The 27,924-nt window shown below is 43.9% G+C and overlaps 1 protein-coding gene across 2 annotated transcripts in view, besides 3 other annotated features; it reads left to right on the top strand.

The window, feature by feature from the left end:
* Positions 1-6,066, top strand: part of NUCKS1 (nuclear casein kinase and cyclin dependent kinase substrate 1) — a 37,361-nt gene extending 31,295 nt beyond the window's left edge. For both annotated transcript variants that reach the window (XM_005245453.2, NM_022731.5), the window contains exon 7: positions 409-6,066. In XM_005245453.2, the coding sequence (XP_005245510.1) occupies positions 409-608 (200 nt within the window). In that variant the 3' untranslated portion in view covers positions 609-6,066. The remainder of the gene's footprint in view (positions 1-408) is intronic.
* Positions 17,000-17,499: an enhancer, noted in NCBI's record as "H3K4me1 hESC enhancer chr1:205670517-205671016 (GRCh37/hg19 assembly coordinates)". NCBI's record gives its function as "activates a minimal SCP1, AML or CMV promoter by ChIP-STARR-seq in primed H9 embryonic stem cells {active_cell/tissue: H9 hESC(primed)}" and the evidence as "EXISTENCE:reporter gene assay evidence [ECO:0000049][PMID:30033119]".
* Positions 17,500-18,001: an enhancer, noted in NCBI's record as "H3K4me1 hESC enhancer chr1:205670015-205670516 (GRCh37/hg19 assembly coordinates)". NCBI's record gives its function as "activates a minimal SCP1, AML or CMV promoter by ChIP-STARR-seq in primed H9 embryonic stem cells {active_cell/tissue: H9 hESC(primed)}" and the evidence as "EXISTENCE:reporter gene assay evidence [ECO:0000049][PMID:30033119]".
* Positions 25,190-25,739: an enhancer, noted in NCBI's record as "H3K4me1 hESC enhancer chr1:205662277-205662826 (GRCh37/hg19 assembly coordinates)". NCBI's record gives its function as "activates a minimal SCP1, AML or CMV promoter by ChIP-STARR-seq in naive H9 embryonic stem cells {active_cell/tissue: H9 hESC(naive)}" and the evidence as "EXISTENCE:reporter gene assay evidence [ECO:0000049][PMID:30033119]".

The following is a 27,924-nucleotide window of genomic DNA, read 5'->3' as shown; positions in this document are numbered from 1 at the left end:
ATGGCTTTAGTTTCTGATCAGATTAATTCTTTTCCTTCCGTCTTTTTGACCTGCTTTTTATAAACAACTTTTATCATAAACAACTGTTAGTTTACCAAGCAATTAAGGATGTTGTGCATATTCTATAGCATGGTGCTTCTTCTTTACAGGTATTACTGCTAACATCATAGAGTGTTGGTAAAAACTGATGGGAAATACTGTAGCATAGTGTAGTAACTTATGACCAGTTTAGAAACTGAGATAGATTTACCTAGGGATATATGTGCTCCCTTGTGCCCACCTTGGTTTTTAGTAAGTTGCATATTGTCTTTATAGATTTTATTCTTACAGATTGTTGTATTTTGTAGCTGACTTTTATTAAAGACATTTTTTTCTCTTCCCTTCCCCAAATTATTTTTCTATTTTCAGTGACGCCAAGTCCAGTGAAAGGCAAAGGGAAAGTGGGTCGCCCCACAGCTTCAAAGGCATCAAAGGAAAAGACTCCTTCTCCCAAAGAAGAAGATGAGGAACCGGAAAGCCCGCCAGAAAAGAAAACATCTACAAGCCCCCCACCCGAGAAATCTGGGGATGAAGGGTCTGAAGATGAAGCCCCTTCTGGGGAGGATTAAAAGTGATGATGGTCTGGGGAGAGATTTTATTAAAAAAAAAAAGAAAAAAAAAGAAAAAAGAGGGAGGAAAAAAAAGAACCTACTTAAGATAGAACATGGTTTTGGCTATGGCTTGACTCATGGGCTTTCAGTGCTTTTTTCCATTTGTTGAAAGTAACATTTCTCTCTCTCTCTCTTTTTTTTTTTTTTTTTTTAAAGCAAACCATTGTATGTGTAAGTGTTTAAGTTACCTTTTTGTCTATTGGTCTCTTTGCCAGCCCTCCCCTTTCCCAATGAAAGCCATGTCAAATTAATCACTGGATTGACTGCTTCATCTTTTTATTTTTAATGAAAGGTGTACCACGGTTGTAAAGCAATAAGATTTGAGATGAACACTATTGAAACTTCGCTTTTTGCTAAAAAATAGCAAGTTGAATAGTAATCAAAAAACATAGAAAGATTTTAGTTCAAAATGATTGCTCCTTTCTCTACCTGGACTTTTAAAAAATCAATTGTCATCTAATATGAGTTTATTTGTCTATAGACACAAGTATCAATGTCTAAAAAAAATCATGACTTTAAACTTCCACCGATGAGGCAGGTAGGAGATAAAGATGAATTCTGAACTGTTACTAAAAGTACTCATTTTTTACCTTGTAGGGAGGGTGGGCAATGGGGTTACCTGACCTTATTTGAGGGTATGGGCTTTCTTTTTTATTTCATCACTTGTTATCTCAAAGAGACTCGGAGCCAGTGATCCTTTTATCCTGCTACAGTCTTTAGGGAGCTAAAAAAAAAAAAAAAGCAGGGGCTGCCAAAACTCTTGATTTCATATTTCCTTCTCTAAATATATATGTATCCTGTTTTTTGGATAAAATTTTACCAAGAATCCAAAAAAAAAAAAACCCTAGAATTTAATCAACAAGATCAGTCTACAGGTCACAGTGGATTTCTTTTCAAACTGACAATGTTTAGGTTTTAAGCAAATAAAGTTCCAGTTAATGTGAAACTCAGTCACAAAGAGTTGAGATTTTTCCTTTATGAAATAGAATTGACATTCTTTTATGCTATAAATGTGCATTCAGGTCCCATTAACCATGCTCTGCTTTTATTTGGGGATAGAACATTTTCTTTTTCATATCCCGATCTTCCCATTTCTTCATAGAAATGTGATAAGAAGTACATCCCTGTGATCCTGCTGCTTCGTAGAGCACCACTGCACACCCTACCCCGAGTGCCAACCACCTCTGCTATAGGACACTATTTTCCTGGCCCTATTCTTCACTTACTTCCCATCCTGTCCTTGACTAGGAATATGTTAAATGCTGCTCCCATACAATTCAGTTAGCTCTTGTCTTTTTATTTGGTCCAACCCCTGCTTTACTGCTCATGCTGCTTAAAGCAGGAGGGACTAGAGAAACAAGGCATTTTAGGAGGCCTGTGTGCAGTTGAAAACCGACTTTTACACGCCTTATAAAAGCAGTCAGGAGATAGATCCGTAGGTTTGATCCTTCACATCTAATACCAGGCGCTAATGGGAACAAGGTTTAAAGGGTCCTGGTATGCTAATAAATTGAAAAATTAGTGAAATTTAAACTTCTGCCTTTTTTTCCTGCCTTTTAATCTAGATTTGCTTCCTCAATATCCTACTTTGTGGTTTACTAGGAACATGCTTACTCTGATCTTTTTTTAAAAAACACACAGTGGCAGAGTCATTTCACTATTGCACTGTGTGTTAAAGAATGAATAAGGAGTTTTCAGTTACATGGCCAAAAATACAGGACTTGAACATAAATAGCAGTTGGATCATTCTCTTTCATGACGGTTAAATTCAGAGGTGTGAACTTTGTAATGAGGGTGTTAAAGATTAATCTATTTGCCTAAATGGGTTTGTTCAGGTATCCATTTTTAACAAAGAAGTTTGTGTTCATATAGTAAAAGACCTATCAGTGTTTCCACCATGCACTTCTATTTTTTAGGAGTTTATAATTTTAAGTCTTACATTCCTAGTAACATTTGGGCTTTTCTTAGGTTATGTTTCGTGAAGATTTGGGGGGAGGGCTCTTTTAAAACTTCAGCCTCAGTTGTTTAACAGTCTCTTTAATATATTAATCTGCACTAACATCTCTGTGATATATGCACATATTTTAGAGGTAATCATGTCTTCTAGATTACTTGTGTGCATTTGATTGGGCTTCTTGTTTAGGGTCCCTTTTAAAATTAATTCATTAGATTGAAAAATGTATTCTATATTTCTGATAGACTGGACAGAAGGATCTGTGTCCCCAAGTGAGACAGGCTCTGAATAACCTTTGTTTTCTCCACTTTTTATTGATGATTTAAAACACTCTAGTCTTCCCCTCAAATCATGCATGCAAATAGGAGGACAGTGGTGGTGACTCAACTGGATACAGGTGCTCAATAGTCAGGCTTGATAGTGATGTCAGGACGCATTACAAGCTGTAAGCCGATACTGACTGGCCATTGGCACCATCCTTGACTAACCTTCCTCTTTTTCTCTAGTGTGCCTATGGTGAAATGGCAATAGCATTCACTGTCGTATTTTGCAGTGCTCAGGAAGTGGGACGTTAACTTTGAAGGTGCTTGTTTGTATTAGCTCTGCTAGGTTTACCTCTACAACGTAGATTTCAGCAGCTATGCTGACTGACACTACATTCTAGTTCTTAAGATTTTTTTTCCAGATCCCCCCTTCCCCAGCTAGACATACGTAGCATACTTTCATCTTATTCAGTCTTTCTGTAACCTGCTGCTGCTTTTAGTCCTCCTCACCTCAGATCGGAATCAATGGAGTGGGCCCAGAGGATACATTTTAATTCCAGTAATGGTAGGTAGATTTGTCCTGCTTTCTAAAACATCTCCTCATTTCATATTTCCACTCCATATTGATTCCATAAGGGAAAATTAATGGGTGTTTCCTCCTTTAGGGAGGTAATGCAAAGAGTGTGGACATCTTCTAATCTTGAGGAACAGTAGTTGATTTCCCTTGAAGGAGCTTACATATTGACTGTTTTCACAATAACCTGTTTGCCCCAGTTCAATCCTCATTTTAATACTTAATTTGGTACTGGCTCAAATAGCATTTTCTTACAGATAACAAATCAAGAGTGAAATTTGAGGTTATACTCCAGTAAAGTTTTTAACACTTGTGAATATGGTCAGCTAGACTAAACTTGACTCTTTTTTTTAATGGCTTTTTTATCTGTGAACATTCAGATAAGTGGATTTTCAAGTACTGGTTGGGGATGGGAATCGTGCTTTTCTTTAAACTTCAGTTTACGAGATGCTTTGAGAGCGTTAGGCAAAAGCAGAAATAAATATCAGGAGCAACGGGGAAAGCTTTATAAAAGATCATGGTGGCCACTGTTGCAGCTTTGAAGAATGAGTGCTGGCTTGAACAGTTCTTTGCCTGCATCATTGGTAGCTGCACTGAAAGGAAAAAACTTTCACCTTAAGAATTTGAAAAGGAAGAAACCTGGGCTCTGGTCTTCATGGCATTTAGACTGAGATGCTTAAACAGAACAGAAGTAATACGCATTTCCTGCCATAGGATAGGGAAAATGTAACAAGCTGGTTGCTCTTGAGGTTAGAAAATTGTCTGTTTCTCTGTGGATGAAGCTGGATTTACTTGAAAATGGAGAGTTGGCTTATTGTTTGAATATTGGGACATCAAGCTATCTATAGCCAAGTTTCAGTCGCAACCAGTTTTCCCTTTGTCTGGGGTAAATTCGATACAAAATGATTCTTTTTGAATCCTGAATCCATAAATTACACTTTTTTTTTTCAAATTCACAAAATTCACAGTGGTGCTGACTGTGTAATAACCACTATTGGGAAACATCCCGTAAACCTGCCTGTTGCCATGCCAATGGAGTGACTGAACTGGTGACATCTGTTTGAGCATGCTTTGTGTGGCTGGTAGAATGCCACCGTTGTGCATACACTTTGTACATCAGGGGTGAAGGGAGGGTTTTCTAGATTATTGGGGGAGGGTAAAATTGGGATTTTTTTGTTGTTCCTTTTTTGATGGGGTGTGGGGGTATAGTACTCAGCTTATGCCCTAAAATAACATGTATAAAAACCCCTGAAGTATTGTGTGGGTGTGTACGTGTGAGTGTGTGTTTGTATACATCTGGCAATTAAAGCTTTGTCTTCTGGAACTTAGTGAATTCTTTTCTCTTTTTCCTCCAGAAGTATTTGTTACAAGATTTGTAAATAAGAGCTCTACTTAGTTTGTTTACCATGAACATGTTGCAGCAAACCTTATGCATCTAATTCCTACAAGGTTAAAGAAAGGCTTTTAGACTTGCCAGGTTAAGCAACAGCCAAGTTCTCAGTAATTGTTTGCCTTGATTTATCTTTTAGACTTCATTTTGCCAGCTCTAAAACTCCCAGTCTTCCTTGATTTTAGTCCTTAATCTTTTATGTTCTGAGCAGGAAGGGTAAAAGACAGGAACCTGCTTCACTGTATTAACTAGTCCATGGGCTGAGACCGGGGCATCTCTTTTCTTCATACTGCAATGTTGCTAGATACATGATCAGACACCAGAGGGTTGGGCATTCTTGCAATACCTTAACAGTGCTGAAATCTGCAGCATGGTACTAAGGAAGTTAAAGTTTGAATGTAACCACTTTATTTAAAAGGTTTTTTTCTTTAATTTAAATGAAATGGGGTTGAAGTGAACATGATTTTGTTGACCATGTTCGTGAATTACAGATGCAACATGCATTGGTAGAATCGTGTGATGGTCTTTTGTGATACTTAATTTTTACATATCCCAGTCTCTGTATGTATCTGCATAGACAAAGAAAAAACAAACTCCTGCTTTGCTTTTATTGAAGGGTTTCCAGGACTGCGTGTCTGCTCCTGAGCTCTGTTTTAAGTATGTGTATCCTTTGCTTGTATTTTGTATTAAAAAAATAAGAAAAAGAAGCCTTTATTGTTGAGCATGTTGGCATTGTCCCCTTTATTTTTTTCTCTTTTTGGGACATATGAAGCAAGTTATTCTTTTTCTGTATCTTTTTTTCTTTTGTAAACTTTTTTTTTGTTTTGTTTAAAAATGGCTTTATAAAAGGGCTTTTATAACCCAGATGTGTGCTCTGTGTACTTCTTGTAATACCTTAAAGCAAACACACTAACTTACACAGCTTTGTTAATCAGCTCCCAGTTCAGCCTGACTTTGTGGGAACTTATTTCCCTAATAAATTATTTAGAAACTTTAACAGTGACCATCCCTGTTGTTGGTAAAAGATAAACATGTCTTGGTTCAAAAGTTAATACCTCAGGATGGAATCAAGAAGCAGTAGACTTACCAGTTTGATTAATTAAGGGAGCACTGGACTGGGTGCGTAAGGATTCTTAATTAGCATTTTTTCTCATGTTTACATCCAAGGTTATGAAGTGTTGTGGAAAGCAAAGTTTAACAATCATATATAATAAAAGATAATGTTTATACTCACAGAACACACTTGCATTCAATTCCAAATACCCATAAGAACTACGCTGAATTTTGAATTAAAGATTACTTGTTAGGTGGACAATGTGGTACAAGATCCCTCTTTAGAACTGGGCTGATATTGTAGCTATTAGGGCTTTTTTCTTTTTAACTTTTCCTCTTGTTTACATACTTGCCTTGTCAGCCAAATACTATAATTGAAATGCAAATTTGGCTTTGAAATTAAATGCTTTGTGCATCCTGTTATCCGTCAGTGACTAGCTAACTTTTTAAATTTCTTTCTTTCTTTTTTTTTTTTTTTTTTTTGAGATGGAGTCTTGCTCTTGTCGCCCAGGCTGGAGTGCAATGACATGATCTCAGCTCACTGCAAACTCCACCTCCCGGGTTCAAGTGATTCTCCTGCCTCAGCCTCCCAAGTAGCTGGGATTACAGGCATACACCACCACACCTGGCTAATTTTTGTATTTTTAGTACAGACGGGGTTTCACTATGTTGGCCAGGCTGGTCTTGAACTCCTGATCTCAAGTGATCTGCCCACCTCGGCCTCCCAAAGTTCTAGGATTATAGGCGTGAGCCACCCCTCCCGGCCATTTTATTCTTTTTCGGAGATATGAGAGTCTTGCTATGTTGCCTGGGCTGGTCTCAAATTCCTGGACTCAAGGGATCCTCCTGCTTCAGCTCCCCCAGTAGCTCAGATTACAGGTGCAGGCACACTGCCCACATACATTTATTTCTTAATATAATGAGTTGTCTCAGGTTAAAGTTGAATTTGGATGAGCATTAACCATCTACTTTTCCTCATAATCCTTAAGTATTTTATGGATAACATAGACAATTTTATGTTTCAGGACAGTGCTGAAGAAATGCAGTCTGATTTAAAGGATTTCAAAAACCAACAAGTGGATAAACAGATGAAGAGAGGTTAAAACACACTTGGAGCTACCTAGACTCCTATCCATGAACATCGGTATACAGTACTACACTGTAGTTGTGCAACACATATTACCTCATTTAATTTTTCCAACAACTGTGAGATCGGCAAGTGTTTGTTCTTCCAATATTGTAAAGAATAACCTGGTTCAGGTAAGATGAGGTTTTATGTGGTACCTGATGTAGCTAGTATGTAGTACAACAAGGGTTTGAATCAGTGCTGTGTGCTTTAAGTTATCACAGTTGTTCGTTCTAAAGCCAGCTCCCTTTGGTATACATGGGTCCCTTAAGCCTTCTTCCTGGTATTGAGCTTTTGAGCATTTTGCTGTTCTCTCACATCTCCCAGTAACAGTGATACTTGAACCAGTCCAATGAGTTACATCAAAGATTTAATGGGGAAAGTCGGAAACTTCAATGAGTAAGGAGATTTCTCATTGAATACTTCGGTTTGCTTGAAAATCCTGGTGACCCCTAGACACAAAGCCTCAAATTATTTAAAAGCTTTTATTTTCTGATTATGTCTCATGATAGTGACTGTTGAGGAAAATGTTCGTCATGTTGACTGTATAGCAGTTACAGTCTGCCAGTAGAGGGCAGTGTTTGTCCTCCATAGGTAGTGGAATGCTTGCTCTCCCCATCTCATTTTTAGATACTATCAGACTAGGCTCAGGACATTTTTAGATACTGTCGGCTAGGCTCAGTTGATATTCTGCAAGTGTATCAACACCTTGCCACTTACTTGGGTTATCGAAGCCCTGTGATCAGTGTACCCAGTTAACATCCTAATGTATGTAGCAGCAATCTTTTCTGAATTTTAAATAGGAAATAGAATTTCTTGATTCATGCACATCTGTCTTCTTGTGTTGTTCCCTCTTTATATCTCCTAAGCCTATGTGGATAACATCCCGAAATAGAAGTGCAGACTGAAATTTCAAAATGCAGCTGTGAACTCTTTGCCCTATTTTGAAACAGGTGTTGTCTTTGAAATTGCCTTCCAGCTCAAAAGCCTTGTTTCTTGTACAATCAGCACTGATATGTGTTCACACACAACAAATACTTAGATTTGTTTTCAAGGTAATATGGTAGTTTGTGTTCCTTTATCTTGATGACTTGCTTCTCTTTTCCTCCATTATCTTACTAGAATAGATAGGTACTCATTTTGACATGCTTTGGCTGGGTCACCACCAAGAGAAATCAGTATTATTCATGGGTGTGCCCCCTGGTTCAATAGTAAACCCTGCACAAATATTGTGAAATAAATGCTGTGTTAATTCTGGGGTCAGGGAGTGAGAGGGTACAGCCAGAGTTCCCATCCTAATAAAGCAAATAATTACTTTAAACTATGATAACAAAATGTTGGAAATAATTGTTTGCCTTGATTTAGCAGTAAGCTGGCACCCAGAAGGGATTTGTTTAAAAATCTAACTTTAAGGAACAGGTTGATCAAGGAAGAGTACACATATATATTATTATTGGTAATGTTTTAGCTATTAAGTTGAATACACAAACCCTTTTATTAGAATGTGTAAGACCACCTCCTTGGCTGATGTACAAAGCAATGTGTGTAATAGTTATACTTTTTCCATCTTGGGAAGAAACACAAATACACAGTCTATATGTAGTCAGGGCTCTCCTGATTATAAGAGATTAGGGTAGATGGGTAAAGTAAGGCTCTGAAGGAGATAGAAAGTCATTGATCCAAGAAAAATGATAGCCTAAATTTTAGGATATGATAACTACCAATTTGGTAACCCTAGCTGATTGGTTATCTGGTAAGAAGTGTCTCATCCATAAAGAACTGAACGTGTGTAGTAATATAATTAACAAAAAATAAGGTGCAGTGGCTCACACCTGTAATCTCAACATTTTCAGAAGCTGAGGCAGGAGGATTGCTTGAGGCCAGGAGTTCATACCAGCCTGGAAAACAGTGAGATCCTGTCTCTACAAAAACAAAATAAACAAGTTAGCTGTGTATAGTGGCATGCACCTATAATCCCAGCTACTGGGGAGGCTTAGGAGGAAGAATCACCTGAGCCCAGGAGTTCAAGGCTGCAGTGAGCTATGATCGCACCACTGCACTCCAGCCTGGGTGACAGAATGAGACCCTGTCTCTTAAAAGATAAAAAGAAATAACGAAAAATAGATTGTGAAACACTGGTGTTTACCAAGAAGTGTGTAGACAGTGACCCACACTGGATCCTCATTTTGTGGCTATAAATTGGGTCTCTTGTGGTTCACTAATTCAGCCTAGAGGAATACAAATACTAAACACTTTAAAAATATCGTTTTACTTCTAAGGTAATCAGGAATAATGATATAGCTAAGCTCTTTTATAAGGCACTAAATGTCTTTAGGAATCAAAGACTCAATGGACGTTCTGTTTAGACCTTGGAACATAATCTGGGGCTTCAGTAACCTGACTTCAAATCTAATGCATGCCACATCTCAGTTACAAACCCCAAGCTCCCCCTGTTTTGTCTTTTCCTCCTGCTTCTGACCTAATTAACCCCATCTTTCTTTTCCTTCGTGTGTGTATGTGTGCGTGTGTGTGTGTGTGTGTGTGTGTGTGGATGAACAGTTAGTTTCCATGGGGTTAGCGTTTTTGAGGCAAAAATATTGTTTATACATCAACTAGATAGTCCTAGAGGTGGATGGGGAACCAGCTGTTCGGTAGAGAGCCACACAGTTGGCCTGAGTACAAGATAAATAGCATTCCTAAGCTCTGTTGTAGGGAATGCTGGTGTGACTTGAAGTACACAGGATATACACAGTATCTAGTTCAAAAGAGTGGTTTTTGTGCTAAACCTTATAAAATCACCAGTCCTGGGCCATTGGCAAAGCAAGTCAGTCCTTTTCTCACCTTGCTTTCCTTTCTCTTGCCATGCACTTAAGGGAAGCAATAAGACCTCTAATATTTAGCTCTTGGGCTACTCTTCTCTAGAAGTCAACACCATTGCACAGTCACTGTGCAATGAGAGAAGCAGATGGCTCTCTCTCTGGGAGAGCTAAGTCTAAGTAAGGACACACTAATAATACCAGACAGTGGAAACAGGAGTTCTTAGAGCACGTGTTGCTTCCACAGGTCACCTCTGAATTAGCCAGCAATATTTATTGACAATGAAAATTGTGGTGACTATATTCCACCAAAAATTGGGATCTGTGCTACAATGAAGAGTTCTTTCATATTCCTCAACAGGAAAAACAGTTTAAGGTATAGTTTGGTTCTCATGATATTGGCATGTCTGGATACTTCTATGGTTTAAGGGACTGAAGCAGACAATGTTGAAAACTGGAGTATTCCAGGTAATGTATGTGAATAGTATAAAAAGTGCAACAGGTGTTCCACAGCAGAGTTCAGAACAGCACATCGTGCTAACTATAGCATGAGTAGTCATTTGTTTTATTTGAACCCCCAATCACTTTTCCTTGTCTGGCGACCTGCTTTGGAGAAGCTATGTGGCTGGTTGCAGATGAAGTCAGATCAATCGACAGGGTGATCTTGGGCAAGTCAGCTTATCCGCCTACCTCCCACTCTATGCTCGTTTCTTCTTTTTATATAATGAGGATTATAAGGGACTGATTCTCCTCTGCTTCAAAGGGACATTATGGGGCCGGGCACTGTGGCTCATGCCTGTAATCCCAGCACTTTGGGAGACAAAGGCAGGCGGATCGCCTGAGATCAGGAGTTCGAGACCAGCCTGGCCAACATGGTGAAACCTGTCTCTACTAAAAATACAAAAATTAGCTAGGTGTGGTGGCAGGCGCCTGTAATCCCAACTACTCGGGAGGCTGAGGCATGAGAATTGCTTGAACCCGGGAGATGGAAGTTGCAGTGAGCCAAGATTGCGCCATTGCACTCCAGCCTGGGTGACAAAGTGAGAGTCCATCTAAAAAAAAAAAACAAACCAAAAGGACATTATGAGAATAAGTGAGGCCATGGGTACTTAATGCCTAGAACACAGGCTGTCTATGCACATATGTTGCTATTGGCACTGTAGACCAACTAGCCTCAAACAAAAGCAGCGATGTACCTCCAGGCAAGGTTTATGGGGGCTGAAAACCTCATTCCTGCAGAACTGAAATCCTTTTAGCTTTGTCTCTGAAGTATAAATGAGTTATTTATTAGTAAGAACACTTACTCTTGCAGAAAGGTAAACTTTAACCAGCTCACAGTATAGGATGGTTTTAGAGGGGAGGGAAGAGTGACAGTAACTTCCAAGTCACCTGCACTAGTAAAAGTTTTGTTTTGTTTTGTTTTGTTTTTTCCCAGTGTACGTACACAGAATTATTGATTGGATCTTGAATGCTTCTTTAGCTTCTCCTAGGAAAAAAATAATTTTATCCAATGGTTTCAAACTGTATTTCTAGTTATGGGATATATATTACAAGTGAGAGAACATTCATTTTGGACTGGAAACCTATTACAAATACTTGTCAATAGCATATTTTCAGTCTATGAAATCATCCTATTTTTGTGTCCTTGATCTTTCAAGTTCAATACCAGAAAGGAAGCCACAAAACTTACTGGAGCCATGATTGGGGACAGAATCCTGGGGCTCAGCTGGGCTGTTTTACTGATGAAATGTGACATCCTGTGTTCTCACAATACTGAAGTCTCACTAGAATGCTTTTTGTGGGTGGCCCCTATCATGAGACCCTTACATAGACTGATAACATTTTGGCAATTGAACCCCAGGGACAAGCTATAAGATAGACACCGCCCTCATCCCCCGCAAATTCTCTTCAATCTTTGGGGAAGAAAGACCCAATTTCAACATAGTGAAGAGGCCGTTTTTAAAAGTTTGATTTATGTAAGTTGAGTAACAGACTGTATAAATACTGAAATTTTGGTCAGGAGCCTGTTATCTTGTAATACCCTCTTCCTCTAGATTGCTAAGATCATCATTTGTGCTTCTTGGATTGATAAGATAACTCTCAGAAGTCTGAAGTTCCTCTTGTCATGTTATCTTGCTGAAGGAGATAGAACTAGTCATTTGGCTTTGGTAAAATTTTCACTTGTCTCAACCCAATTTCTATCACTGAGTTCTGTTAATGTGCATGACGCATGCTTCTCCCTCATTAGGCCTTTTGGACAAGTGTCAGCATTTAAGGTCGTGAGAACTGGATTTTGTTCCCTCTGAAGAGTATGATATTAAGAAAACTTAGCTGAAAACTAGGATAGCATTCTTTCCCCAGGCTTCGCTTTCACAACATTCTTGTGGAGTCAGAATGCTAACTTAGTTGGAGATAAACATAGGCAAGGCCAATTCTCAGTCTGAAGGTGTTCAATGGTGAAGGAGTAGAGTGAGAAATAAGCACCTCTGCTTCTGGAGCCCCCTGTGTCTACCTACTTGACAAGCCAAGTTAGTTCTTGTTATGTCAGTCAGACTTGCACAGGAAGTTTCTTTGTTTTGGGTTTTTTGCTCTTGATTTTTCCTGTTTTACCATAATTTTTTTTTTTTTTTTTTTTTTTGAGACAGAGTCTCACTCTCTCTCCCAGGAATGGAGTGCAGTGGTGCGATCTCGACTCACTGCAAGCTCCGCTTCCCGGGTTCACGCCATTCTCCTGCCTCAGCCTCTCGACTAGCTGGGACTACAGGCGCCCGCCACCACGCCCGGCTAATTTTTTGTATTTTTAGTAGATACGGGGTTTCACCGTGTTAGACAGGATGGTCTCAGTCTCCTGACCTCGTGATCCACCCGCCTCGGCCTCCCAAAGTGCTGGGATTACTGGCGTGAGGAACCACGCCCGGCCTTACCATAAGATTCTTAATTGAGAAACACGTATTCATTTTCTAATCAATGTGACTGAAGAGAGGAGAGAGGCTAATAAGTAAATGCAACTGTTATACATATTGAGAAGCAAGGTATTAAGAATTCTACAATTTGAGGCTGGGGCGGTGGCTCACGCCTGTAATCCCAACACTTTGGGAGGCCGAGGTGGGCGGATCATGAGGTCAGGAGATCGAGACCATCCTGGCTAACACGGTGAAACCCCGTCTCTACTAAAAATACAAAAAAAATTAGCCGGGCGTGGTGGCGGGCGCCTGTAGTCCCAGCTACTCGCGAGGCTGAGGCGGGAGAATGGCGTGAACCCGGGAGGCGGAGCTTGCAGTGAGCCGAGATCGCACCACTGCGCTCCAGCCTGGGCGACAGCCAGACTACGTCTCAAAAATAAAAATAAAAAAGAATTATGCAATTTGATATTCTTTGATTGCCCATAGAAAAGTGCTTTAAATCAGTGGTTCTCGAAATGTGGTCCCTGGATGGACCAGCAGTCTCAGCATCAGCTGGTAGCTTGTTCAAAATGCAAACTCGGGTCCCACCCCCAATCCATTAAATGAGAAACTCGGGATGAGACTTCGCAGTTTGGATTTAACAAGCCCTCCAGTTGATTCTGAGGCACACTAAGGTTTGACAACCACTGCTGGTTTAAATCATGCCGAAGAATCAGCTGGACTAAATTCTTATTCTTTCCTTCTTGGAAACGGCAACTTGGCCGGAGTGATGTTATTGAGACAGACCAATTATTGCACTGGGTTTGGTTTAACAATAATAACTATATCCTATGGTTCCATCCTCATTTGCCATTCCTGGAAATAATTTTCTTCATTCTTGGATGTTTCATCCCTCTGTTGGAGTCACTAGAGATGGAACTGACCTTTTCCTCTTCCATGAATTCCACTATCAGATGCCTCTTCAAGCATCTCCACTTTTTATCTTGTGACTTAAGAATCCTGGGTGCATTTGGACTTCCTATAGATTCAGGCCTTGGGTTTTTTTTCCTTCCTCTTTCTAAAAAGAAAACCGGATCCTGAAAATGTCTTTGACAAACCACAGATGTTTATGTTCAAGAGAGGAGCTAAGAGAACATATACAGTATCAGCCTTTAATAATCTACCTCTTACCCTGGAAAAACTGTGGCTCTTGTACTTTCTCCAACACTGTCTTAGTAGTAACCGCAGCTCCCCTTTATTGAGGGCTTACTATGTTCAAGGCATCCTCTTGAGCACTTGTCCTGCCTTTTATCATTGAATCCTCACCACAGTCCCATGAGATACAGGTAATATTACTGTCCCCAATCTACAGAGAAAGAAACAGAGGTCTAGAGATGGTTAAGCAACAAAGCCTGACAACCACAACTGTCTGCAACCTTTTTATTGACTAAGGTCAGCACTGATTGGCTGCATTTTGCTTGCCTTCGCTTGTTTCCCAGAATATAGAGCCTCCAGCAGAAGCATCAGGGAGCAGTGAATTGACCAAAAATAGATGAAAAGAGAAACAGTGGGAAAAACTCTAGACAGAAAGTCAGGGACCTAGGTCTGAGTTCTGGCTCTCTGCTAACCAGCTGGGTCTTTGGGAACACAATCTCTCTGAGTCTCAGTTTCTGAGACTGTTAACCAGGTCAGTAACATCTACTTCTCAGGGTTGTAGTAAGGATCATACATGAAACTGCCTGGCAAAAGGCCTTGCAGTAATATCTTCACCCTGGAAGATAAGAAGTTAATAGGACATCAGTAGCAGAAACAAGGAGCAGCCTTGGTTGCTGAGCCACCGTACCTTTCATTCTTGCTGCCGAGGGACGTTCCCTGTCTCCGTATTTTCTCTGGAGGGTGGGATGATGGCGCAAACTGGGTAAATAAGGGGAAAGGAGGGCAGGTTGGAATCCTACCATCCACCATGTCTCAGCGCTCCTGCGTTCCTCTGTGCCTCCCTGGGTGCCTTGCTTCAGACGCTATCTGTTAACTTATACTTGTTCTGTGAACTATCTGGCAAACAACACACTTCTTATGACATTCTGATACTTGTGGATGGAGCCAGGCAGAGGTCTCTGTTGGAATGCCCTAACATTCAGAAGGGCAACAATCAGGTCGGCCTCACAACATTCTCTTGCCTGGTCAGATCTCCCTGGTTAGGTGGTGGGTGGAGGGCATGATGGAAATGATAGGTAACTAGTACCCCTTGTGAGACACTGAATGTGGAAGCTCTACCCTAGGAAATGGGACCATAATAATAAGAGCTGGGCAGAGGGATGGGTTGGGAGTACAGTGAGCTCCCTCTTAGGCCTCTCTCTCCAATGCTGCAGTGGATTCCTAAAAAGGAGGGAAGGGCAGGTGGTGGGCAGGTGAGATGCAGAATAACCCCACACAGCTTTCTTGTTCCTTTTCCCTTGCTCCCTTGGTGCAGATGACTTGAGTTTATTTGAGCCTTGGAGAGGAAGACAGGCCACACTGGGTATTTCCCACCAGTCAGCTTTTGGCTCACCTCCGCCTCCCTACAGGGGCTTAGCAGAGTCAGAGTGTGGTGGGGAGGCCTGGAATTCACATCCACATCCACACATAGGTGGATAGACTCTTGATTGTCAGCCTTGTAGAACTACAGGCTCTCAGTCTTGCGGGGAGGTAGGGAAGAGCTGATGGTGAATAGAAAGTGAACAAGAAGCATGAAGCATGAAGAAAAGGACCACCTCCCTCTAGGAACTCAAGTTGCTCATGGCTAGGGGTGGTCCTGCACCCACCATCCTGAAGGGAAATGGTGGAGATGGATCTGAAAGAGGGCTTTGCACCTTTGTGGCCTAGAGACCCCTCCCCTCCAGCCTAGCTGTCAGGCTCAGTATTTGCTTAGTGTAGTCTTTCAGAATAAACAGTGGCGACCAGGTAAACAGGGGTGTACTCTTTACTTACAGAAGATATTGTTTTATTATTTGGCTGTGTTTCTCCTTTTTTTTTTTTTTTTTTTAATGTGCCACTGTGGAAGGGGATGCAAGCTGATCTGCCAGCTAGGTGGAGGACAAATTTTTTGTTAGTGGGGAGCTTTGCTTCCATTTTTTTTTTTTTCTTGAGAGAAGAAAAATTGACCCAAAGTGATCAGGAAGTAATATATTGTTAAGTGGACAGTTTTGTGGGGCTTTTTTTTTGTTTCCTGTAGGATGGGGAGGAAGGAGAAATTTTTATCATAAGGAGTCAGACAAATGTTGGTTTATCTAAATCAGGATTTCTTTTTTTTTTTTTTTTGAGACAGAATTTCACTCTTGTCACCAAGGCTGGAGTGCAATAGAGTGAGCCACCACCCCAGCCGAAATCAGGATTTTGTAACCTTAGCACGAATTGACAGATAATTCTTTGTTTTGGGGAGCTGTCCTGTGCATTGTAGGATGTTTACCAGCAACCCTGGCCTCTACCTATCAGATGCCAATAGCACTCTCTTCCCTAGTCATTTTGTTTTGTTTTGTTTTGCTTTGTTTTGTTTTTTTGAGATAGAGTTTCACTCTTTTTCCCAGGCTGGAGTGCAGTGGCAGGATCTCGGCTCACTGAAACCTCCACCTCCCGGTTTCAAGCAATTCTGCTTCCTCAGCCTCCCAAGTAGCTGAGATTACAGGCGTGCGCCATCACGCGCTGCTAATTTTTGTAATTTTAATAGAGATGGGTTTCACCATGTTGGCCAGGCTGGTCTCGAACTCCTGACCTTGTGATCTGCCCACCTCAGCCTCCCAAAGTGCTGGGATTACAGCCGTGAGCCACCACGCCCAGCCTTCTAGTTGTTATTAAAAAAAATAAAAAGAAAAGTGTTCAGACACTGCCACATGTCCACTGGGGAATAAAATTGCCTCAATTGACAACACTGATCTAAGTGTTTCCTACAATTTTTTTTCTAGTGATTTGGTCTTGAGTTTTTCATTCTATAGGTCTTATCAAAGAGCGAGGGACAAAGCTGCCTTCAAGAGAAGAAGCCCAACCCTTGGCCCCACTTGCCCTGCCTAGCTTAAGGAGCCCCAGGAAACCTCTGCTTTTTCACCTTGACCACTGCAGTCCATCTGGCAACCCAGACCTGGACTAGAAGCAGGAAGAAAAGGATCACGAGGAGGCACAGCACCTCTAGGAACGCACAACTAGGACTTACAGCTGGGGCTGGGCTTGCATCTGCCTGCCTCCTGCCGCACAGTGCTCCTAATGCAGCAAGATTTTTGGAATTCTATGTACCCTAGGGCACACCTAGTGTTTCTTGTTTGTGTTTGGCCTGTTCATGTGTATGATAGAGAAACAGAGAGGCAGAGTGTGGAATTTTTGTGTGTTTGGGAGGGTGGGGGGCTGAAACAGGGGCTTCTCATCACTCTGGAGCCCCTCTCTTGTCAATGCACCAAAGGATGTGTTCACTCTCCAGGGTCCTCCCATTTCCCCCAGCTAATTACATGCCTCTTTAATGAAAGGAAATAGTTTCTCAGCTAAGCTGGGAAACCCAAGTCCCTGGTGCCCCCTCATCATGGGTATCTGGGAAGGACAAAAAAGGAAGCAGCTGCTTCTACTTCTTGCCTTCCCAACCCTCTTGAGGGGTGCCCGGCCCCACCTGGAGACAGGAACCATTTCCTTCTGCCAGCAGGAGCCTCCAGACCTGCCACTGGGCATGGCCAGGACATGGATACGTTGAGAAAACCCAAGCAAAGGATGGGATTAGGTGGTGGATACAGGCTGGATGTCAACCAGACCCCTGAGGAAGCCAAGCTTTTTATTCACAGCCCCTCAGCTGCAGCCTAGGAGTGAGGGAGTGTGACTGTCCCCCACCCCTGCTGTGTACAGCTGCTGGGGACAGAGCCGGCTGCTCTAAGCTTGGCTGGGGTTGGGGGCAGGGACACAGTGGGGGAGGCAGGGGAGATTGGCTGAAGTCCCAGGACAAGGCTGCAAGATCTTCCTCTCCCTCCAGGGCCTCCCTCAGTCAGCACAGTCTCTGGGAGGTGGTTTCAGAAAACAGTCAGTTGGGGACTATAGGTGAGGGGGGCTGGGGAGAGAAGTTACCGGTCCAGGAAACAGCTGGGCTGCTGTTTCCCTAGAGAGGTTACTCATGGAGCAGATTCCAGGATGTGAGGGTTCTGGGCACCTTTCCTCTTTCCACTACTGGAAAGGAGAGAGAGAGAGAGAGAGAGAGAGAGAGACCCACAGTGGTTCCATGGTCTCTTCAACACCTACAGTGAGATGGAAGCTGGTCAGCTGGGAGCCTGGCAATGTGGGATTACACAAGAGAAAATCTCTGGCCTCTTCTCTTTCAGCCACCCACCCTCCAAAAAACACAAAAATTTCATACTCTGCCTCTCTATTTCTCTATCATACACATGAACAGGTCAAACACAAACAAGAAACAGGGTTATCCTGAAGGTTCTAAGAGCTTCCCACCTCCCAATTCTCCTTTAAAAAAATAAAATGCCAAAGTTGAAGAGACTGGGATTGGGGAAATCAGGAAGAGGAGTAACCTGAATATATGGTCCTTCACCAATCATTTAGCAATGTCTTCCCGGAAGAAAATCAGGACAGTCATTTGTTGTGCATCGATGGCATTCAGCTAGATAAGAGAAACAGGCAGAAGAAAGAAACCGGAAACACAGTTGAGAGTACAAGCCCTTTGAGGGCAGGAGACCTTTCAAGTCTTTTGTGTTTGGTTTTTTGTTTTGTTTTGTTTTATTTTGTTTTGTTTTGTTTTGTTTTTGAGATGGAGCCTTGCTCTGTCGCCCAGGCTGGAGTGCAGTGGCGTGATCTCAGCTCACTGAGGGATCATGCCACCTCTGCCTCCCATGTTCAAGCAATTCTGCCTCAGCCTCCTGAGTAGCTGGGATTACAAGTGTGCACCACCAGGCCAGGCTAATTTTTTTATTTTTAGTAAAGACAGGGTTTCACCATGTTGGCCAGGCTGATCTCAAACTCTTGACTTTAAGTGATCTGCCCACCTTGGCCTCCCAAAGTGCTGGGATTACAGGCCTGAACCACCGCACCGGCCTCAAGTCTTTTTTTGAATTAAACTTTTTATTAAGATCATTGTAGATTCACATGCAGTTATAAGAAACAATACAGAGAGATCCCTTGTATACTTGCCCAGTTTCCCCCATTGATGACATTTTGCAAAACTACAGTAAAATATCACAACCAGGATATTGACGCTGATACAATCCAACAACCTTATTCAGATTTCCTGTTTTATTTGTACCTGTATGTGTGTGTGTGTTGAGTTTTATACAATTTCATCACCCACATGTGAGTATCCACCACCTCAATCCAGATTCTGAACAGTTATAACATGAAGAGGTCCCTTATGTTGCCGTCTTAAAACCACACTTCCTCCCTTCCCATTCCCCTTTCTGTACCTGATTCCTGGCAACTACTATTCTGCCCTCCAATTCTAAATTTTCTTTCAAAAACCTTATATAAAGGGAATCATATGGCATGTGACTTTTAGGGATTGGCTTTTCTCTTGGCATAATTCCCTACAGATTCATCCAAGTCATGGCATAAATCAATAGTTCATTCCTGGCTGGGCACGGTGGTTCACACATGTAATCCCAGCCCTTTTGGAGGCCAGGTGGGCAAATTGCTTGAGCTCAGGGGTTCAAGACCAGGCTGGGCAACATGGCAAAACCTCATCTCTACAAAATATACAAAAATTAGCTGGGCGTGGTGGTGTGTACCTGTAGTCCCAGCCACTCGGGAGGCTGAGGCAGGATAATTGCTTAAAACCAGAAGGCAGAGGTTGCAGTGAGCCGAGATCATGCCACTGCACTCCAGCCTAGGCAACAGAGCAAGACTCTGTCCAAAAAAAAAAAAAAAAAAAAAAAAAAAAGATATAGTTCATTCCTTTTTATTGCTGAGTAGTAATCTGTGGTATATTAGTACCAGAGTTTGTTTGAACATTCACCTGTCAAAGGACATTTGGGTTGTTTTCCATTTGGAGCTATACAAATAAGGCTGCTATGGACATTTATGTGACAGTTCATTTTTATATGAACATCAAGTTTTTACATGCTTGTCTATCCAGTGCCAGTATCGTGCCGGGCACACATCAGATCCTCAGTCAGTGTTCCTTGGAAATGACTCAGGACAATCTGCTCTAGCACTGTAGTCCAGGTGGGAGTAGGGAAGAAAGCAAGAATGACGGTGGGGGGTGGTCATTTCCACGAACAATGAGCCAAAAATCAAGGCTCAGTCTGATGAAAGGATTGATCAAAGGACGCATGGTCATGATTAGTATTAAGCAGTTGGGACTACAGGAGGCCAAAATTACATATAGTGAACAAATGATAATATATGGGTGAGAGTGACAGTGGACATGGCATGGGACAGTGTGTGAAATGATATACATGCAGGTTACAGGAATCCTGAAGCAGCTCTAACAGTGATGACAGCAGGGGCTTTGGGAACACCTTATTCAAACCCCGCCTCCACCACTTTTTAGCTGTGTGTTCTGCGCAAATTACTTAATCTCTCTGAGACTACATTTTCTAACCTGTAAAATGAAGATATAATAGTATCTTTCTCATAAGAGTCCTGAGCAATGAGTAAAATAGGATACATAAAGTTCTTGACTCACAGTAGTCCCTGAATGAATATTAGTTTCCTTTCTGCCTCCCCACCCTAATGGCAAGTAAAGAAGTAATAGATATTAGGGGTGCAGTGACTCATGTCTGCAGTCCCAGCAATTTAGGAGGCTGAGGCAGGAGGATCGCTTGAGCCTGGGAGTTCAAGGCTGCAGTGAGTTATGATTGTGCCACAGCACTCCAGCCTGGGTGACAGAGCAAGACCCTGTCTCAAAAAAAAAAAAAAAAAAAAAGTCGGGCTTGGTAGCTCACACCTGTAATCCTAGCACTTTGGGAGGCTGAGGCAGGCGGATCACCTGAGGTTAGTAGTTTGAGACCAGCCTGGCCAATGTGGTGAAACCCTGTCTCTACTAAAAATACAAAAATTAGCCAGGCATGGTGGCTTGCGCCTGTAGTCCCAGCTACTAGGGAGGCTGAGGCAGGAGAATCGCTTGAACCTGGGGGGCGGAGGTTGCAGTGAGCCAAGATTGTGCCACTGCACTCCTGCCTGGCGACAGAGCAAGACTCCATCTCAAAAAAAAGAAAAAAAAGAAAAAGATTTTGGGGCTGGCTAGTCAGGAAAGACCTCTGAAAAGGAGTTTGGTTTAAAGAAAGCTTGTAGGGGGCATACGAGTAAGACAGAGGACAGACTGAACTCAGGCAGGGAGACTGGACTCAGAAGTGGACTGAATTAGATGCAGGCCCCCTCTTTGGAGCATAGGGATTGCCTCAAAGCAGAGCAGGAATTCACAAATAGGGTTTGGCCCAAGGGGTCACTAGTTCAGTTACTGCTTGGCTGGGTACTCCACACTCTGTTTTTTCTGCTTTCAAGGTGAGCTTCTCCTTACTTTATTAAAGGCCTGACACAGACAGTGTGCATCCCTCTTTGGAGCAGCTACCAGGGTGTGTTGGACAAGATGCTCGCCTGCCCCTCTCCTCCAGCCCAGCAAATGCAAACCATCCACCAAACCACCCCCTCTTCAGATTCCAAACCCCAAGCAGCCAAAGTCCTTGGTCCCTCCAACGCCTTCCAGAAAGTGCCTGGCCCTGCACAGCCCTCCTCCCAGGGCTACCTTTGATCTCACGAAGACACTTGACCTTTTGATCCCATCATGGGACTGTTCCCCAGCCCTAGGCCACTGGAATGGGGGGAAATAGAACCCTCCTTTCCTTGTTCCCACTCTTGTTTCTTTTGAACATGGGTTACCTCCCTTCGCGTCTTTTGGAACAGAAGGGGATCATAAGCTCTTGAGTCTCTGTTTTCTGCTGTCATCTACTCTTCCTGCCTCTGGCACCTCCCAGCTCCTGACTTCCTCCTGCTTCCCCCTGGAGCCAGAGATGTGGCTGGGAAGAGCCCCTGGCCTTTGAAGCCAGTGGTGGTGGTGACCAGGGGCAACAGGCCACTGTGCTCCTGGATGCGTGGTCTGCCAGTTCTCTCTCCCATCGCCCTTTGGGCCTCCGGTCTTGCCTCCTCCAGAGTGGGCATGGGGTAGGGGAGATAGAAGGAGGAGGATAGAGACAGAGTTTGCTTTGGATGTGGCCAGTCTAAAAGAGCCCTTCCACCTCATTCAAGGCCCTCCCCACCACTCTAGTGGTCACAGCACATTTTCTGTTCTATTCCAAACTTCTTTGTGCCAATCATTACTTTTTTCACTGGTTTTATTGATCCCTCCTGAGGCAGGAGGATCACTTGAGCCTGGGAGTTCAAGGCTGCAGTGAGTTATGATTGTGCCACTGCACTCCAGCCTGGGTGACAGAGCAAGACCCTGTCTCAAAAAAAAAAAAAAAAAAGTCGGGCTTATAGGCTCTCGAGTCTCTGTTTCCTGCTCTCATCTACTCTTCCTGCCTCTGGCACCTCTCAGGTCCTAACTGGAGCCAAATTTATACCTCCCAAAATGACCTTTAAAAATGTACATTATGGGGCTGGGCATGGTGGCTCACGCCTGTAATCCTTGCACTTTGGGACGCCAAGGTGGGAGGATCCCCTGAGGTCAGGAGTTCGAGACCAGCCTGGCCAACAGGACAAAACCCTGTCTCTACTAACAATACAACAACAAAAAAAATTAGCTGGGTATGGTGGCGCATGCCTGTAATCCCAGCTGCTCAGGAGGCTGAGGCAGGATAATCTCTTGAACCCAAGAGGCAGAGGTTGCAGTGAGCCTAGATCATGCCACTGCGCTCCAGCATGGGCAACAAAGCGAGATTCCCTCTCAAAAAAAAAAAAAAAGTACATTATGGGTAGACCGGGCGTGGTGGCTCATGCCTGTAATCCCAGCACTTTGGGAGGCCGAGGCAGGCAGGTCACAAGTTCAGAAGTTTGAGACCAGCCTGGCCAGCATGGTGAAACCCTGTCTCTACTAAAAATACAAAAGATTAGCCGGGCATGTTGGCGTGTGCCTGTAGTCCCAGCTACTCGGGAGGTTGAGGAGAATTGCTTGAATCTGGGAGGCGGAGGTTGCAGTGAGCCAAGATCACGCCACTGCACTCCAGCAGGGGCAACAGAGAGAGACTCTGTCTAAAAAAATAAATAAATAAATAATAAAAATAAAAATGTACATTATGGCCAGGTGCAGTGGCTCCCACCTATAAGTCCCAGCACTTAGGGAGGCTAAGGCAGGAGATTCACTTGAGCCAGGGAGGTTGAGGCTACAGTGAGCCATGATGGCGCCACTGCACTCCAGCCTGGACAACAGAGGAAGCCACTGTCTCAAAAAAAATTTTTTTTAAGTCAATTACATCATGTTACTCCTCTGCTTGACTCCTTCTAATGTCTTCCTGTTGTGTGAGAATGAAATACATATGGTCTAGTTTCTGCCCACTTATCTCACCCCATTTACGCCTCTCGTACTCTGGCTTTCTTTTTTTTTTTTTTGAGACGCAGTCTCACTCTGTCGCCCAGGCTGGAGTGCAGTGGTGCAATCTCAGCTCACTGCAACCTCTGCCTCCGGGATTCAAGCAACTCTTCTGCCTCAGCTTCCCGAGTAGCTGGGATTACAGGCGCACGCCACCATGCCCAGCTATTTTTTTTTTTTTTTTTTTTTTGTATTTTAGTAGAGGCGGGGTTTCTCCATGTTGGTCAGGCTGGCCTTGAACTCCTGACCTCGTGATCTGCCCGCCTCAGCCTCCCAAAGTGCTGGGATTACAGGCGTGAGCCACTGCACCCAGCCAAATATTTCACTGGGTGATAAATGAATCCCTCTGATATTGCAGTGAGATTGGAGAAGGCCCATTTGTGGGCAGAACGCTGGCCTCGGAGACTAGAAAACCAAGTATAGGAACAAAATAAACCAGACAAGTTTAGGTTTGCATCCTAGGTTTGCCATATATTAGCTGTGTAATCCCAGACAAGTTACTTTACTTCTTTGAATTTAATTTTCCCCATCTGTAAAACAGAAATGCTATCGCTTAGCTTCTAAGATTGTGGTGAGGAGGAGAGAATTACATGAAAGTGCAAAATAGATATGGATTAAAAATAATCCACGTGGTTATCCAGAGATAGTAAAACAGAGTCTGGGTGCCGTTACACAATAATCTTGCCTCCATTCCTTTAATCAACTGTATCATGCTCTTCATTTAAGGAGGCTGCAATACGAGGCAACCCTGATGGAGGGATAAACAGAATGCCACCATCCACAGACTAAATCCAGGCCACCGCCAGGTTTTGTTTTGTTTTGTTTTCTGTTTTTGTTTTTTGTTTGGTTGGTTGGTTTTTTTAGGCAGAGTCTTGCTGGAGTGCAGTGGCGTGATCTTGGCTCACTGTGACCTCTGCCTCCTGGGTTCTAGCGATTCTCCTGCCTCAGCCTCCTGAGTAGCTGGTACTACAGGCGCATGCCACCACGCCCAGCTAATTTTTGTATTTTTATTAGAGATGAGGTTTCACCATGTTGGCCAGGATGGTCTCGATCTCCTGACCTCATGATCCACCCGCCTCGGTCTCCCAAAGTGCTGGGATCATAGGCGTGAGCCACCACGCCCAGCCACACTGCTGGGTTTTGTATGGTCCCTGAGCGATGAATGGTTTTACATTTTTAAGTGGTTGAAAAAAATCAAAAGAAGAAGAATATTTCATGACACATGAAAATTGTATGAATTTAAATTTCAGTGTGCATAAATAAAGTTTCATTAGAACACAGCAACACCCATTCATTTCTGTATTATCTGTGGCTGCTCTGTGCTACAAGCACAGAGGTGAGTAGTTGCGATGGAGACCATATAGCCCCTGCAATATTTCCCATCTGACTCTTTACGGATTCTAATAAGGAGCTTGTCTAAGAGACTGCATGGTGGCAAGGAGAGGACAGGCCAACCTCAGGGGACTGTTTCTCTTTCAGGGCTCTCTGCTGCATGCTTCAGAAGGTTCTGTTTTACCTCTGGCTGCAGAGGCACTGCCAGCCTCCTGGAGCCCAGAGAGAGCTTGAGGGAGCTGTACACCTCCTAAGCGTTTTAGGGAAGGAGCCCCCAGAGGGAAGCCCCCACAGAGGGAAGCCCCCCCAGGAGCCACTTGCCCTGTGGCAGCTCCTCTGACCTCCCTTTTTCCTGGGCTTAGTTTTCTCCAGAAGGTAGGGAGGGTGGCATGGTTAAAGTAGCTGGACTTCCAGACATCAGCTCTCCAAGACAGAGGCGACCCACCCCAAGTGGGAGCCCTGGGAACCCTCTCTCCTCCCAGAGGCTGTTGCACATCCGCACTGCAGGCCCCATGTAGGCGGGCAGTCTGCGAGAGCCCTGGTAGATTATTCTTAGGAAAAGCAGGAGAGCCAGCCGCTTCAGGGAGGTGGAAAGTCTGCTCCTAATGACAGGTCTCTCTCTCTAGGGAGCTTATAATCACCGTGGGAGGCTCCCCCTTCGTGTGGCAGAGACACCAGGGCTGATGGAGCCAACGACATTGAAGAAGGCTGCTGTGTGGCCTTGGGGGTGGGGGTATGTGTGCAAATTCACAGGGCTGTGCAGAGAAGGGACAGGAATTTAAATGCAAACGCAAAGGCTCTGTCCTTGCAAAGGCCAGGGTACTGGGGATGAACAGGAAGTTGAAAGTAGGAGGAAACACCGGCTGCCCTCCTAAGTGCGGGGGCTAGGGCACAGTGCAGTGCAGTGCAGGAGTGTGGCCGTGCAGCCAGCCCACCACTTGAATGCTTCCTTCTTTCCCCTTGTCCTTCCTCCACCATCTCTGGGAAGTCTGGAGGGCTGGGCCGAGCCCCCACCACTGCCCTGCTCCCTGCAGGGAAGAAAAGTCCTGTTTTACCAGACTTCTCAGGTAACAAAGGTAGAACATTGTCCTTTCTCAGCATCCCCAGTTCCAAGCATCCAGCAGCCTCTTCCCCCTTGGGTCATCTTCCTTAGGAGTAGATCTGGATGGATAACTAGAAGTTGAGGACGTGTTCCAACACTGAGTGGCTTCGTGGGCGAGCCACTACTTCTCTAAGTTTACATTTCCCTCATATAATGATACCTGTCTCCCAAGGTCATTGTGAGGACAAAATGACATGCTGCACATGAAACCACTTTTAAAACTATAAAGCCCAGGAAGGAATATTCATGTGAACAAGCTACAATCTATGTGCACACACCTAAGCATAGTCACCCAGGCTGGAGTGCAGTGGCACAATCATAGATCACTGCAGCCTCTACCTCCTGGGCTCAAGTGATCCTCCCACTTCAGCCTCCCAAGCAGTTGAGATTATAGGCATGACATCATGCCTGGCTAATTAAAAAAATATATTTATAGAGCTGGGGTCTTGCTATGTTATTGCCCAGGCTGATCTCGAACTTCTGGCCTCACAGTGTTGGAATTACAGGCGTGAGACACTGTGCCCAGCCATGGGGATGAGGCTTCTATCACCAAGGTGTTGTATCCAATCTAGGAGAAGTGAGTGAGAAGAGGAAGGCCCTTCCAACAGCTAGGAGGCCTTGGAGATGCTATCATGCTTGTGGTCTGATCTCAGCATCTCTGACAGGGCGCAGCCTTCCTGTTCGACCCTGGCAGTTGGACCGTGATAGCGGTCTGCTGCCCACCCACTCTGGTGCTGCAGCTTCTCCAGGGTCTTGGCCCTCCTCTGCTGCTCAGCTGCTCAAGGCAGGAATGGTGGAGGTGAGGTTCTGAATGTGGTGGACTTCAGGTGCCACTCTCTTTCTTCTCTTTTATCCTTGGAAGGGGAGCTCGGTGTGAAGGGGAGTGGGCCCCAAGCTCTAGTCCAGGCCTGCCACTCGGTAGCCATGGAGCTCTTGGAAGTCACTTAATCTCCACTGCTTGAACCTCCTCCCATAAATTGCAGAATCGATTCCCTTCCTGCCCACTCTCAGTGCCGAGGAGCAAATGTGAGGCGCTTATGGAAGTGCTTTGAAAATGGCTCCATTTCCATGCAAGGGACGGCTATTTTCAAAGAGTGGGAAATGGGGAAGCGGACACAGACTGGTGGGATAATGGGGACAGAAACAGGCAGCAGGCCTTAGCCAGGGGCTGGGGGACAGAGGGGGAAAGGTGTGGAGGGACTGGGGGGCAGGGGGAAAATGATGATTTAGTGCTGTATGTCCAACACTAAACCAAGCATTCTCTGATCCTCTCACAGCCCGTGATATGGACACTGTAATATCCATTTTACAGAGGAAGCAACCTAGGCTCAGCGAAGTTCAGCAATTTGCCCAAAGTTTAAGGCTAGTAAGGGCAGAGTTGACCAGCAAGCCCAAATCTGTCTGACTCCAGAGTCTGTGATCTTTGCACTCCACCAAGTTTCCAGAAAACCTATTCTGGGGGTAGGCATAAGAGTAAAATGGAGATAGGAGGAGAAGAGTCCACTGGAATACAGGAAGTGAGAGACAGGAAGTATTTCTATGTGCCTGGCACAATACCTGGCCCACAGAAAGTGCCAGGGCTACTGCTGGTCCATATAGTGCTTTTATGCAGCTTAGAACAAGGTAGATGCAACCATGAGGCATGCCTATTTGTGCTTGGGAAGTGAATCACATGTACAACTGTACATGGAAGCCCTGGGAGAGACTGAAATTAATTCATTTATTAATTAACTAATTAATTAAAGGAGAAAAGAAAAAAGTCTAGGAAAAGAGGGCGTTAAACAATAAAGAGTAACTGGGAATGGGAAAGAAGAAGAAAAAAAACGTGGGAAAGAATATATAAATGGAGGCCGGGCACGGTGGCTCATGCCTGTAATCCCAGCACTTTGGGAGGCCGAGGTGGGCGGATCACGAGATCAGGAGTTTGAGACCAGCCTGGCCAACATGGTGAAACCCTGTCTGTACCAAAAATACAAAAATTAGCTGGGCGTGGTGGTGTGTACCTGTAGACCCAGCTACTCAGGAGGCTGAGGCAGAAGAATCGCTTGAACCTGGGAGGCAGAGGTTGCAGTGAGCCGAGATCGCACCACTGCACTCCAGCCTGGGCGACAGAGTGACACTCCATCTCAAAAAAACAAAAAACAAAAAAGGATATACAAATGGGAAGAGGAGTGTCGCAGGGGGCGGGGTATTGTGAAGAAGGGAGGTAGAGGGAGGGCGCTCTTTGCTCCAAATGCAGACCAAGTGCCTTCTGCAGGTCCTCTAGACTCAGTACACATGATAAGCACACCTTGGTGTGACTGCTTGCAAGTGC

Source organism: Homo sapiens, chromosome 1 (assembly GCF_000001405.40).
Source record: "Homo sapiens chromosome 1, GRCh38.p14 Primary Assembly".
Classification (NCBI taxonomy): domain Eukaryota; kingdom Metazoa; phylum Chordata; class Mammalia; order Primates; family Hominidae; genus Homo; species Homo sapiens.
The sequence above is the reverse complement of the archived record's forward strand: the minus strand, read 5'-3'. Positions and strand labels throughout refer to the sequence as shown.